Source organism: Homo sapiens, chromosome 14 (assembly GCF_000001405.40).
Source record: "Homo sapiens chromosome 14, GRCh38.p14 Primary Assembly".
Taxonomy (NCBI): domain Eukaryota; kingdom Metazoa; phylum Chordata; class Mammalia; order Primates; family Hominidae; genus Homo; species Homo sapiens.
Genome location: NC_000014.9, coordinates 55557693 through 55573124, shown reverse-complemented (window position 1 = coordinate 55573124; position 15432 = coordinate 55557693).

Sequence of the window (15432 nt, the reverse complement as noted above, 5' to 3'; positions counted from 1 at the left end):
TGGAAAGTTAGATCAGTTTTAGGTGATCAGTATTAGCTCTTCAACAAGGCCTAAATAAAAAATTTGGTCAACATACAGGCAGCAGGCTGTCATATATGTGTCATATAAAAGAAAAACAAAAAAGTTCTCTTTCACTGCCTGCACAACCTTCATCCTGACCAACTATGTTGCAGGGATAAACCTGGCCTGAGGAATCAGGCTAGAGAATGTCGATATGTCAGCATAAACCATCACCACTGCTGTCCAAATAACTCTTAATATGACCAGGCGAGGGCAGATCAGTAGCAACAAATCAAATCAAGTCAGCAAATATTTATAACGTGCATAGCATCCTGTTAGGTGTTTGAATGTAAAACATGCATTCAAAAATTTTTGTCCTCTGAAGTGGTGCTCACATTTTAACCCTCGCTCCTGTTTACTGACTCCTATTCAGTTCCTTTGTGATAACACTTGGACCCCAGCCAGCCCTTACCCAGTGTTTTTCCCCCTGTAGCATGACAGCTCTGTTAACCTTCATAGGCTTTGTTCCATTTATTTTTGACCACATCTCCAGTATACCAATTTCTTCTGAGTCAACAATTTTTTTAAAGCCACCTTTTGGTACTTCTGTATATTGTTTTGGAAATTTTCTATTTATGAGAAAAAGCAAATAGATTCCAAGCTCTGTTACAAATCATTATTCCATGAAGGCTGTAGAATAATTTCTCTAGATGCCAAGTCTCATGACACAGAGCTCTGGATGTCAGCCTTTTCAGCCCCCTCAGGGACCTCACTCCATCAGCAATGCCCTTTCTGTCTGTATTTCCAACCTCTCCCTCTCTGTCAGTCATTAGTGCATTGAGAGCTCTCTCCACTTAAATGGGAAAAAAAAAGTTACTTCCAACTCCAGATCACCCCATCTACCTCATTTCTTGCAAAGCCAGGTTTTTGGTTGGTTGGTTGGTTGGTTGGTTGGCTGACTGGTTAATTAAGAGTCACTTACTTAGGATGGGTGTGATGGTTCACACCTGTGATCCCGGCACTTTGGGAAGCTGAGGTGAGTGGATCACTTGAGCTCAGGAGTTTGAGACCAGCCTGGGCAACATGGTAAAACCCCATCTCTACCAAAAAATACAAAAATTAGCTTGGTATGGTGGTGTGTGCCTGTGGTGCCAGCTACTCCAGAGTCTGAGGTGGAAGGATCACTTGAGCCCGCGAGGTGGAGGTTGCAGTAAGCTGAGATCACACCACTGCACTCCAGCCTGGGTGATAGAGTGAGACCTCGTCTCAAAAAAAAACAAAAGGAGTCACTTACTTGACTGAGTATTTTCACTCACATTCACTCCTCATATTATGCTTCTGTACCCACAACTAGATTCTGAAACACTTCTCACCAAAGTCACCAATGACATTCTTGCTGCTAACTCTAGTGAAGCATCTCAGTCTTCATCTGGTAAAACCTCTCTGTTACATATGACAGCACTGATCACTTCTTGAAATGCTTCTCTTTCCTTGACTTCAGTCGAAACCTCATCCACATGGCTCTTCTGACACACCACACACCATTGCTTCTGACAAACTGATAATCACAGCAGAGTGAGACAATGGGCAAAGAATTCACAAGCAGCAGCTAACATTACAGAATGGTTGGAATGGCTATCAAAAAAACAGCTTTGGTGACAAATGAGAGACAGAGACCGAGGCATTAGAGTGCTGTTCTACCAGATGCAATATGTGTGCTCCAAATCAGCTACAAATCTGTATGACTTTTTAAAAAATCTGTAGACAAAATATATAGGTGCAGAAACCAAAAGGAAGAAGTGAGAATGGCTCTTAATTTTTTTTTCTTTTTTTTTTTTTTTGAGGTGGAGTCTTGCTCTGTCTCCCAGGCTGGTGTGCAGTGGCTCAATCTCAACTCACTGCAACCTCAGCCTCCCGGGTTCAAGTGATTCTCCTGATTCAGCCTTCCGAGTAGCTGGGATTATAGGCGTGTGCCGGCACACTGGGATAATTTTTGTATTTTTAGTAGAGACAGGGTTTCGCCATGTTGGCCAGGCTGGTTTTGAACTCCTCACTTCAGGTGATCTGCCCACCTCAGCCTCCCAAAGTGCTGGGATTACAGGCATGAGCCACCGTGCCCCGCCAGCTCTTATTATTATACCTATTAATCTCTGCATATTTAGAGGTCTTGGATGCCAGGGGAGGAAGACTTCTATCAGGAGATAAATATATCCTATTTGATCTGACAGTTGAGGCTTCCAGGTGGTCGTTTATGTGTTTTTCCAGCCACCGAACAGACAGAGAAGGGATATGCTATTCTTACTGGAATCATGGATCCATACTACCAAGGGGATCTGACCCCTGCTTGATTTTCTTGTAACTGCATTAACCATCTCATACCAGTTTGTCTGAGACTTTTTCAGTTATATCACTCAAAGTCTCACATGCTGGAAAATCCCTTAGTCCTAGGCAGCTTGGGACAATTGGTTACCCAGCTAACTTCCCTAGGACATCGTAGACACTCAATACATTTGCTTTAGAGTGGATCTTGTTTATGCCAAGCAGAATCCATCCCAATCCTCCCAAAGTAGATCCTTGATGACACGCAAACTTATTTGGCATCCCAGGGAGAAATGTTTGCAGATAGCATTGGCTTGCTCCTTCACTGGCTTACTTCTATCCACAGACATCATCCTCAGTGGCTCCTATGCCTTTGAGGATGGAGTAGTGCTTCCCTGGCAAGCTGAAGGGAAAACCCTGCATGTCATATACTTGAGCTCATTTTTGTTCTTTACTCATATTTTCCCAGAATGATGTACTACTTGATATTTAGTTTTTTAAATGAATTCTCTCATCAATCTAATTTTTCCAGCACCATGGAAAATTTATGTTCAAGAAGGGATCATAGAAATCATCTAACCCAAACCCAAATATTTCATGTTCATCTGCAACTGCCCTAATATTAGAACTTCATTATTTTTGTTTTAGCTTATGATTTGTCATGTTCACCAGGCATTTATTTCCTCAATTGACCAAAAATTACACTTGCACATTTGATGTAGTGAGTAATTTATTTTTGCTTGTATAATGATCGTGAATTCTGAGTTTCAAAACCTCAGTGTTCTCTAGCATCTCATCAAAAATCACTACTCAATGAGAGCTTGTTGATGAGGGACCTTGGTCTGCTAAGTCCCATTTTCTATTGTGTCTTGGTAATAACGTCTGTGATTGTCAAAAGATCTGCTTCCATATGGACCTGGCTTACAGCACCAACCACAGAGTAGAACTCAAAAACCAAGATTAAGATTTATTTCATTTCATATAAGAAACAACTGAGATAAAACAATACCATCCCACAAATCCTCCACTGGTGCTAATCTCAGTCAAATAATGGGGTAAATTGACTACTGGTCTTGTATTTTGCTCTTATGAATCAGTCCTCTAATTTTTTGAGGTTAACAATAAAGAAGAACAGAATTTGTGACGCCATTTAAATTGTAACCAAGAGATATTCGTTATGCTTAGAAACTCACTCCAGTTTGTCAGAGTCTACCTCCTGTAAAATTGCCAGGAAAGAAAGGGGATTTCTAAAGAAAAATATTTTTTACCACTGTTTTCCTTCTTTGGGTTTAAAATTTATTATTTTATAACTTAATTTTCTTCTATTGAGTGTATTTGGACCGTTATGGGAGATCTCAATTCCCACTCGTTCAGGGGTTTGAAAAGAAACCAAGATTACAGAAGCACCAAGATTAGCAGCAACAAACACCTTTCAGCTTCTAGCCTGACAATAGAGGATATAATATTAAGAGTGCTAAAAAGACCAGACCCAAGCATCAATGCTCCACTAAGTTCTTTAAATAGTTTTGTCAAAAGTCATTTATTATTGAGAAAAGAAAATAAGTATTTTGCAAAGAAAGTTTTTATTAGAAGGAGGAGTTCAAATTAACAGCCAAAGCATTACACAAAGCTTCAGGTTGAATGATTTCTAAAGTTTTTTTTTCCAGTGTCTTTTCACAAATCTTTTAGTTACTCTTGTCCCATCAGTGGTAGGAGTCTATGTTAGGCAGGAAACTATTATCAAATAGCTTCAGAGCAAAACCAAATCTAGCATAGAGCTGTGAGATCTTTTATTAAGAAGTCAGGGAAATTTAAGGTGGCATCTCCTAGGTCCTAGCAGACAGACAGAAGAAGGCCTTCTGGGGATTTTAAGAGTTTATCTTGCAGACTTTCTCTGTTTAAACAGCAGGGCCTCCAGGAATGTAAGGTCATTGTCCCACAACAACTTCAGAGAGTCCAGGAAGATACTTATATCAAGAGGTTTGTGGGCTTGGCTTTTATATGGTGGGTGGATTATAAACTGACACTCAGGAAGTCCACAGAGTTTTTAAGGTAATTATATAAGCTTGATCTGAGAAAGAGAGACAGGACAGCACCTACCCTGATTTTACCAGCATTTTTCAAAGTGTAACTCACAAATTGTGATCCACACCAGACCTCTTGGTCTGAATGTTGCAGGGGTAGGGAGGGAGAGAAAAGAATGGAGGCATATCCAGGAATCAACATTTATAATAGATAATACGTATAGACGTTAAAATTTGACATCCTAGCTGGGCATGGTTGCATACCCTTGTAGTCCCAGCGACTCAAGAGGCTGAGGCAGAAAGATCGCTTGAGCGCAGGAGTTCGAGGCTACAGTGAGCTATGATTGCATCACTGCACTCCTGTCTGGGCAACGGAGCAAGACCCTGTCAAAAAAAAAAAAAAAGAAAAAAGATAAATTGACGTCCACCTCAAACAGACCTACTTACCCATTCCTAAATATATTATTTCATTGGTAATGCCTTCCATTTTCTCATGTTGGAATACCACTGCCTTCCATTCTGCAAATATTATCCATAGTTAAATTTTGTGCATTTTTTTTAGTAAATAGTGGTGAATCAATTGGACAAGGGAATATGCTGCCTATCTCATATATACATGCACAAAAAATTAATTTGAAATGGACATAGACCTAAGTATGAAGAATAAAATAATAGTTTTAGAAGAAAACATAGGAGAATACCTTTAAAATCTTGACATAGACAAAAATTTGTCATAGATTTAAAAATAAGCATAACACTATACATTGAAAATAATACTTCATTAAAATTCTTTTTATGAAAAGACACCATTAAGAGAGTGACATGCAAGCTAAATCCTGGAAGAAGACATTTGCAATACAGATACACAACAAAGTACTTGTATCCAGAACATGTAAAGAACAGCTACAACTCTAAAAGAAAAAGACTGACATCTTATTTTTTAAATGGGTAAAAGACTTGAGCAGGCACCTTACAAATGGCCAATAAGTATGTGTCCAGTATCACTAATCATCAGAAAATTGCAAATTAAAACCATATTGAGTGGCAAATAAGAAGAATACAAGATGCTCAATATTATTAAGTCATTAGGGAAATACAAATTTAAAACACATTTAAGTCCTACAGCATATAATCAGCTCTCCATATCTGTGGATTCAACCAACCTTGGATTGAAAATATTTGAAAAATAAATAAAATAACAAAGACAATAAAAATAATACAAATTTAAGAACAATATAGTATAACAACTATTTACTAGCATTTACATTGTATTAGGTGCTATACGTAATCTAAAGATGATTTAAAGTATAAGGATGTGTGTAGTTTTACACAAATACTACATCATTTTACATAAGGGACTTGAACATCTGCGGATTTTGGTATCTGCAGGGGGTCTTGAAGTCAATTCCCTATGAACACTGAACAATGACTGTACCTACTGGAATGACTAAAATTAAAAATTGTGACAGTACCAAGTGCTGACAAGGATGCAGAGCAACTGGAACGCTCATATATTACTGGTGAGACTGCAAAATGTCACAGCCACTTTAGAAAATAGCTTGACAATTTCTTATAAAACTAAATACACACACACACACTATATATATACACACACACACATATATATTTACACACATATATATATAACAGGTTGAACAGCCCTAATCTGAAAATTAAAAATCTGAAATGCTTCAAAATTGGAAACTTTTAGAGTGCTGAGATGATGCTCAGATTTCAGATTTTCTGATACGGAAAACTGGTAAGTATAGTGCAAATACTCCAAAATCTTAAAAAATTCAAAATCCAAAACACTTCTGGTCCCAAGTATTTTAGGTAAAGGATACTCAACCTGTAGTTTGCTATGGCTGTCATTTAAAAATACCTTTAACACAGCTGGGTATAGTGGCTCACCCCTGTAATCCTAGCACTTTGGGAGGCCCAGGCAGGCAGATCACGAGAAGTCAAGAGTTCGAGACCAGGCTAGCCAATATGGTGAAACCCCATCTCTACTAAAAATACAAAAATTAGCCGGGCATGGTGGTATGTGCCTGTAGTACCAGCTACTCAGGAGACTGAGGCAAGAGAATCACTTGAACCCGGGAGGAGGAGGTTAGAGTGAGCTGAGATTGTACCACTGCACCCTAGTCTGTCTCAAAAAAAAAAAAAAACACAAATCATCACAGTTCTGGAGGCTATCTCAAGGTACCGCCAGGTTTGGTTTCTTCCGTGATTTTCAGAGAGCCCCCTTCTTGCTGTGTGCTTGTGGTCTTTCCTCTGTGCATGCACAGCCCTGGTGTCTCTCTGTGTATCCTCATCTTTTCCTATAACTACACCAGATATATTGAATTAGGGTCCATCGTAACAACTCCATTTGAACTGAAGTGCCTCTTTAAAGCCCTTATCTCCAAATATAGCCACATTTTGGGGTACTAGGGGTTAGGCTTCAATCTAGGAATTTGAAGGAGACACAATTCATAAAACCATACAACCAGCAATCTCACTGCTAGGCAAATGAAAGATAAATGACAGGATATATCCACACAGAGACCTATAGGTGAATGTTTAGGGCTTCTTTATTCATAATAGTCAAAATTTGGAAACAATGAACACCCATAACTGTCAATCAGATACATCGTAGTGCATCAATACAGTAGAATACCAGTCAGCAATAAAAAAAGAATGAATTTCTGAAACAAACAACATGATGAATCCCACAGACATTGTGCTGGCATGTTCTCAGCAAGAATGGCAAAGTAGAAAACTCTGAGAACCTGTCCCTCCACAGAAACACCAAAAGAGCTTCCAAAATCAACTTTAATCAGAACACTGGAAGATAGTCCAAGGGGAATGCTCAGATAGGAGAAGGGCCACAGAAACACAGTAGAAGAGCTTGGTGGCATTTTTCTTACCCTTGCTCTCTACCCCTCTGCAGCTCAGCAGTGGTCTTGAAGACAGCAGTCCAAATTGGAAAGGAGGAAGCAAAACTAGTATTCACAAGTAACATGAACTTATATATAGAAAGTCCTATGGGATCTACAAAAAATTATTAGAAATAATAAATGAATTCAGTAAATTTGCAGGATGCAAAATCAACGTACAAAAATCAGATATATTTCTACACACTAGCAATGAACAATCCAAAAAGAAAATGTATTTATGATAGCATCAAAAGAATAAAATACTTAGGAATAAATTTATCAAAGTAGATGAAAGATTTTATATTAGTCTGTTGACACACTGCTAGTAAAGACATACCCGAGACTGCGTAACTTATAAAATAAAAAAGGTTTAATGGACTTACAGTTCCACATGGCTGGGAGGGCTCACAATCATGGCAGAAGACAAAAGGCATGTCGTACACAGCAGCAGACGAGAGAATGAGCGCCAAGTGAAAGGGGTTTCCCCTTACAAAACCATCAGAACTCGTGTGATTTATTCTCTACCACAAGAATAGTATGGGGGAAACCACCCCCATGATTCAATTATCTCCCACAGAGTCCCTCCCGCAACATGCGGGAATTATGGGAGCTACAATTTGAGATGAGATTTGGGTGGGGACACAGACAAACCATGTCAGACTTGTACACTGAAAACTGTGAAATTTGCTGAAAGAAAGTAAAGACCTAAATAAATGGAAACACATCCTGTGTTCACAGATTGGAAAATTTAATATTGTTAAGATGGCAACTCTCCCCAGTGGGATTTACAGGTTTAATTCAATCCCTATCAAGACCCCAGGGGCCCCAAGAAAAGCCAATCTTGGGGCAGACCAGCAGACTAGAAACTCAGGCAGGAGTTGCTGCTATAGTCTTGAGGCAGAATTGTTTCTTCTCTGAGAAACCAGTTTTGGCTCTAAGGCCTTTCACCTGACTGGATGACGCTTACTCACGTTATTAAGGGTAATCTCTTTTACCTGTAGTCAGCTGAATGATAATGTTAACCACATCTACAAAATACTTCCACAACAACACCTAGGTTAGTATTTAATTAAATAACAGTGCTATAGCCAAGTCATGCTGACACATAAAACTAACCATCACACACCTCAAAAAACTTGACTTTAAAAAATTAGGTCTCTGTTCATGACATCATGAACTTACATAATAAATATAAGTGTCTGATTAAAATAAATAAAAATGAAAAACAAAAAGAGTAGTGATTACCACTTTATCTCCATGATAAAGTGCCAGCTAAAAGGCTGGCAACCCTAAATGTTGGTAAGGATGTAGAGCAACTAAACTGCCTTCCATTACTGGTGGGAGTGTATATTGGTATAAACAATTGAGGAGCCCGGCGCAGTGGCTCACACCTGCCGATTACAGGTGTGAGATTACAGGTGTAATCTCAGCACTTTGGGAGGCCGAGGCAGGTGGATCTGGAGGCCAGGAGTTCAAGACCAGCCTGGCCGAGATGGCAAAACCCCCGTCTCTACTAAAAATACAAAAATAAGCCAGGCGTAGTGCCGGGCGCCTGTAACCCTAGCTACTCAGGAGGCTGAGGCAGAGAACTGCTTGACGCTGGGAGGCGGAGGTTGCAGTGAGCCAAGATCTCGCCACTGCACTCCAGCCTGGGTGACAGAGCGAGACTCCATCTCAAAAAAAAAAAAAAACAATTGAGGAAACCTGCAGTAACTTAAAGATAAATACATGTTTACTCTATGAACCAGAAATTCCACTTCAGTATTTACACCCAGCAGAAATTAGTGTGTATATCCACCAAAAGGCATATACAGGTAGGTTCATAGCAAAAAACTAAAAGCAACTTGTATGTTCATCAACAGTAAAATGGATGAAAAAATGATATTGTGTATTCATATAATGAAATACTATACAGCAATAAAAAAAACCAAACTACTGTTACATGAAGCAGCATGGATGAATCTCATGGACATGACATTGAGCAAAAGAAGCTGGACACATACTGTATCATTCCATTTAGATAAAGTTCAAGAACAGATGAAACTAATTGGTGGTGATAGAGGTTCAGAATAGTAGTTACCTTTAGAAGTGGGGCAGCATTGACTAGGAGGGGACATGAAGGAGCCCTCTAATAAGCTGGGAATGTTCTATATATTGATCTAGGTGGTACTATATACTGGAATATACATATGTAAAATTTTATTGAGCTGTATGGCTAAGATTTGTGTGCTTTGCTATAGCAAAGTTATACTTCAATTTGGAAATAAAGTAATAAATAAAAACAAAATTGTACCCATCTTTCCAAGGGGCAGAGTGGGGAAAGTAGATAAGGGTATAAGTGAAACTAGGTTGGTCATGTGTTGGTAAATGTTGAAGTTGGGTGATAGGTATATGGAGGCTCATTGTATTTTCTCATTTAAAAATTATTTCCATTTTTAAAAAAACCCCTTTTATCCATTCTAATAAGCCCATTTCAAAGCCACTTTTTCCATAAAGCTGAAAGATTTTCTCTCTTCTTCTTTTGAACTTCCAAAGCATTTTACTTCATCAGGAGAAACTCTCTTAACTAGCCTCCACTTAACTAATTCTCCAAATGAAATGGCTGTCTCCTCTCTGCTCCATACTGACTTTGTACATGGAACACAAAACACTTTTAAGTATAGGCTACACTAGTACCCCAGGCACTTCTATGCCTACAATTGAGTGGGCTTCCCAAAGATCAGTGATATTCCTCATAAACCTGTTCATGTCAGATATCTGTTACTGTATTTTCATAATTTGGTCAAATACTGAGTACAAAAAAAGAACTGTTCATTAAAACTATATGAATTACTTTGCAAAGAGTTGGTAAAAGCAAATAGCTAGAAACTTTCATGTCAAATTTGGTGTGTATATAACTCTGAATATATGAAAATCACTCAACTGTATAGTTTAAAGGAGTGGATTTTATGGTATGTGAGTTTTATCTTAATAAAGCTGTTATAAAAAATTAGTTGTGGGTGAGATAACTACAAAAGATTGCAAAAACTTTCAAAAAATCCAGAAGACTTTGCAGTGACTTCGCAAATATCTTTAATTTCTCATCCCTCTCTTAAGAAAATGTAAAGAATAACATTGGGTCTGTGGGGTATGGGAAGCAAAAAAGAAAATATAAAGAAAATCATAGATAATGCTTTATAAGCAGGTTTATGCCAGAAAGACAAATGTAGAACTACAATCAGCAAACCTATGCCCAAAGAAATCTTGGCCCTACATCATACCTTTGGAGAATAAATCACATTGATATGTTTTAGGATAAAACAAAATTTTTAAAAATTAATATATTATTATTATTCCTTTACTGATAATTCCATATACAGTAGTCCCTCCTTATCCATGGTTTCACTTTCCACATTTTCAGTTATGTGCAGTTGGGAAATATTAATGGAAAATTCCAGAAATGAACAATTCATAAGTTTTAAATTGCATGCCCCATTCTAAGTAGCATTATGAAATCTCATGCCATCCAGCTTCATCTCACCCAAGATGTGAATCATCTCTTTGTCCAGCATATCCACACCACATACACTCCTCACCTGTTCGTCACTTAGTAGCTATCTTGGTTAATAGATTGAAAAAACATAGTTTGGTTGACCCTCGAACAACATGGGTTTGAAATGTATGGGTCCACTTACACGTGGATTTTCTTCTGCCTCCCACACCCCTCAGACAGCAAGACCAACCCCTTCTCATCCTCCTCCCCTTCCTCCTTAGCCTACTCAATATGAAGAAGGTGAGGGTGAAGACTTCTTTTATGATCCATTACCACTTAATGAATAGTAAATATATTTTCCAGTTTTTGTGATTTTCTTAATAACATTTTTTCTCTAACTTACTAAGAATACAGTATATAATATATATATATAAACCTAAAACAATGCATCTTAATAGGTAGTTCATGTTATCAGTAAGTTAAATTTTAGAGGAGTCAAGTTATATGTGTGTGTGTGTGTGTATATATATATATATATATATATTTTTTTTTTTTTTTTTGAGACAGAGTCTCGCTCTGTCACCCAGGCTGGAGTGTAGTGGTGCAATCTCGGCTCACTACAACCTCCGCCTCCTGGGTTCAAGCGATTCTCCTGCCTCAGCCTTCCAAATAGCTAGGATTACAGTAGGCACACACCACCACGCCCAGTTAATTTTTGTATTTTTAGTAGAAATGGGGTTTCATCTTGGTCAGGCTGGTCTCGAACTCCTGACCTCAGGTGATCCACCTGCCTTGGCCTCCCAAAGTGCTAGGATTACAGGTGTGAGCCACCGTGCCTGACCATATGTGGATTTTTGACTGTGCAGGGGAATGGGCACCTCTACCCTTCACATTGTTGAAGGGTCAGCTGTATATATAGGGTTTAATACTATTTGCAGTTTCAGGTGTCCACTGGAAGTCTTGAATTGTATCCTCCACAGACAATGAGACTACTACACACATGTGTGCTTAATTGAGATATAATTCACAAACCATACAATTCACCCCTTTTGAAGTGTACAATCCAATGATTTTAGTATGAGTTGTGCAACCATCACCACAATTTATGAATATTTTTATCATCACAAAAAGAAATCTCATACCTATTAGCAGTCAATCCTCATTTTACCCCAGTCTCCTTACTTGGAAATGACTAATCTACTTTCTGTCTCTATTGATTTGCCTATAGAGACAAATTGATTTATGCCTGGGGCACCATCACCAAAAGAAGAGGAAATGGATGCAAGCCTTCCCAGAACAACAGGTGAGTACCACAGCATGCAACTAAATAAACTGCATCTCACCTTCGGAACAGAGCTTGGTGGGTGGGGGAGTCTACTACTTAATTGGAATCAGCTGCTGCAGTATTAATTCATGGTCATCCGATTGGGCTCAATGACCTACCTGTGCCCTAAAACAGTCATGTTCATCTTTTTTTCTCTCCATGACTTAGTAGTTTCTTGAACATAGTGAGTGTTCAGTAAATAGTTTAATTGACTAGAATTTACTCCCCCAGGTCAAACAAATTTTCAACCCATATTGTGTAATTAAAAAGGAGACCTTAGGTAGTGTATTCTTGACTAACAGAATAAACAAAAGTAAAGCTTAGAGTGAATAACTATGCCACTTAATATTAGTCAAATGTCCATTTACAGTAGAACCAAGGAAGGACTGTCTCAGCGATGACAGAAACAAAACTCAAATTCCTTGAACAAAGAAGGGACTAATTTATTGCTTGATGTCACAGAAAAGTCCAAGGAGAGTTTGGCTTCAGGCACAGCAAGATCCAGAGACTCAGGAATCCCTCACTCTTGCTCCCACCCATGGCCCTGCTTTCCTCTGTCAGCGTCATTCTCTGGAAGGCTTTCTTTGGGAGTTTCCACCAATAGATTTAGGCTTTCACCCTATGAGATTAGTAACCCTAGCTAAAGGGGGAGATCTCTTTCCAATAGTTCTAGCAAAAGTCTGGGGTTGATTTGAATTTGGTTGAGCTTTGGTCACATGCCGACCTCTGAAAAACCACTGTGGTTTTAGGAGGAAGGACTATGTCAGTTTCTGAGGCTCCAACTACATACGTACTCCTGAAGCCAGTGATGGGGTCAGCTCCCTTCTGTGTCATATGGACTAAAAGTGGGAAAGAGGTTATTGCCCAAAGGAAAACTGGAGTAATGTTACCAGAGAAAGAGAGAACAGACACCAGGCCGCCATCAAGTACAGACGAGCACTGTAGCAAGCAGCTGAGTGAAATGCATCTCATCTTCATAACAGAGCCTGGGCTCTCCTTTACTGGAATCAGCCAGGTGCTGTATAAAATGCACAGGAATCTGACCTACCAGGGCTCAAAACCAAGCTCTGAGCCCAATTGTTGTACAACCTTGGGCCGCTTTGCTGACATCTCTGGAACTCAAGTTCCTCATATGTAAAAAGGAGGGGAATGAAAGTTACCACTCAGGGCTATTGCAAAGAGTAAGTGAAATAGATTTACGAGAGAATGCAGCTATCATAATCATGTGGTTAATGCTCACAAAACATCTTCTCTTCATTGTTCTCTACTTTTAAAACTTGCTTTTTTTTCTAGAAAGAGTCTCGCTCTGTTGCCAGGCTGAAGTGCTATGGTGTGATCTCAGCTCACTGCAACCTCCGCTTTCTGGGTTCAAGCAATTCTCATGCCTCAGCCTCCCGAGTAGCTGGGATTACAGGCACATGCCACCACGCCCAGCTAATTTTTGTAATCTTAGTAGAGATGGAGTTTCACCATGTTAGCCAGGCTGGTCTTGAACTCCTGACCTCAAGTAATCCGCCAGCCTCAGCCTCCCAAAGTGCTGGGATTACAGGTGTGAGCCACTGTGCTCAGCCAAAAAACTTGCATTTTAAAGAAAGTTTTCCAGAACTGGGCTTGTTCCATTCAATAAGTAGATTGAGTTACAACTATGCACTTAGCTTCATGTGACACTGAAGGGAATATGAAGAAGAAAGAAGACAAATTCTGCTTATACTCTGATAGGACGACCTCTGCTATTTTCCTTCTGAAGCTTTGCAGAGAGCAGTGAATTGTAATGAAAGGAGATTTGGGAGTAAAGACTCCGTGAGGTATTGAAGTCTCTAGGGGAACCTCATTATAGCATTCCTCTTCCCAGCCTGGATTCTGAACAATTTGAGAAATAAAAAGCAAATGTGAAGCACACTGAGGCCAAAGTATCACCTTTAGAACCAGTAAAGATGAATTGGAATTCCAGGCATGGCAGGCCAAGGCAGACATCATCCTTAGAGGCAGAGTCCCTGGAGGGGAAGAGGAAGGAGATAAAGCTGAAGCAAGCAAGCCAGGGCAAGTCACTTTGACACCCCAGGGACAGAAAGGGACCAGGAGTATGGTCAGCTGCAACTAGGAACTGGGGAAAGATGTTCCCGCATCACTGGTTTTTTCCGCTCCTCAGATGCGTGACGTTGGATGAGTCCATTAATCCCTCTATCCATTATCATCTTTTCTAAACCAAAGGATTTTACTAGATCATCTCTGAAATTTCTTCCAGGTCTACAGTGGTATGATTATATAAATTACTAGACCCATAGTAAATCATCTAAGAGCTCATATGACCTTATTTAGAAAGGAAATTACAAATCTTTTACACTTGGATCTGGAATTGCTTTTGTAAATGTGAAGCTACTATGAGTTGAATTACACTTTTGTTTCAGAGATTGACTTTATGAAGATCCTTAGGAAGTTTTAAAGTTGAATAAGATTCTTCTTCTTACCTTTAATCATCACTTTTACATCTCATTTGTGGAGAATCAAAAGTCACTGGAATCAAAAGTCACTGACCCACAAAGTGTCTTCCTCTTGCAAGATGGGCAAATGGATCCACAACAACATAAAACCCAGCATCACACTGACGGTTACAGATCTGTTTCTGCCGGGTTGAGTCTCCTGGCCACCAGAATCCCAGAGCTCTCACCCAGGCTGAGATGCAAAAGCCACAAGCACAGTGGGGAGAGAGGAAAATAAGAGAAGGAGCCCATGACTTTGAGATGTGAAATAAAGGAGAACCAACAATACTCTGTGCCTACTCATGAGCACCTCGGTGTACTCCAGAACTTTCATTTCAAAAAGTTAAATAGGAACCTTTGTCCAGAGATTGGCTCAGATGTTCTCATTAGATCTTAGCTTGAAGCCTCTTCTGCCAGTTCCTCCCTGTTTTTATAGTAAGTCTCATAAGGCATGGTCCTGGACCCACAGCCCTGTATCATATGGAAAAATGATGCAGGCCGGGCATGGTGGCTCATGCCTGTAATCCCAGCACTTTGGGAAGCCAAGGCGGGTGGATCATTTGAGGTCAGGAGTTCAAGACCAGCCTGGCCAACATGATGAAACCCCATCTCTACTAAAAAAAAATACAAAAATTAGCCAGGCGTGGTGGCGAACGCCTGTAGTCCCAGCTACTCAGGAGGCTGAGGCAGAAGAATTGCTTGAACCTGGGAGGCAGAGGTTGCAGTGAGCCGAGATCATGCCACTACACTCTAGCCTGGGCGACAGAGCGAGACTCTGTCTCAAAAATAAATAAATAAAATAATTAATTAAAAATGATGCGGAACAACAATGAGTTATGTTCAACTCATTGAAAAGTTGTGTTGCCAAGAGTGTGAGTATGGTTGGAAAGATTAA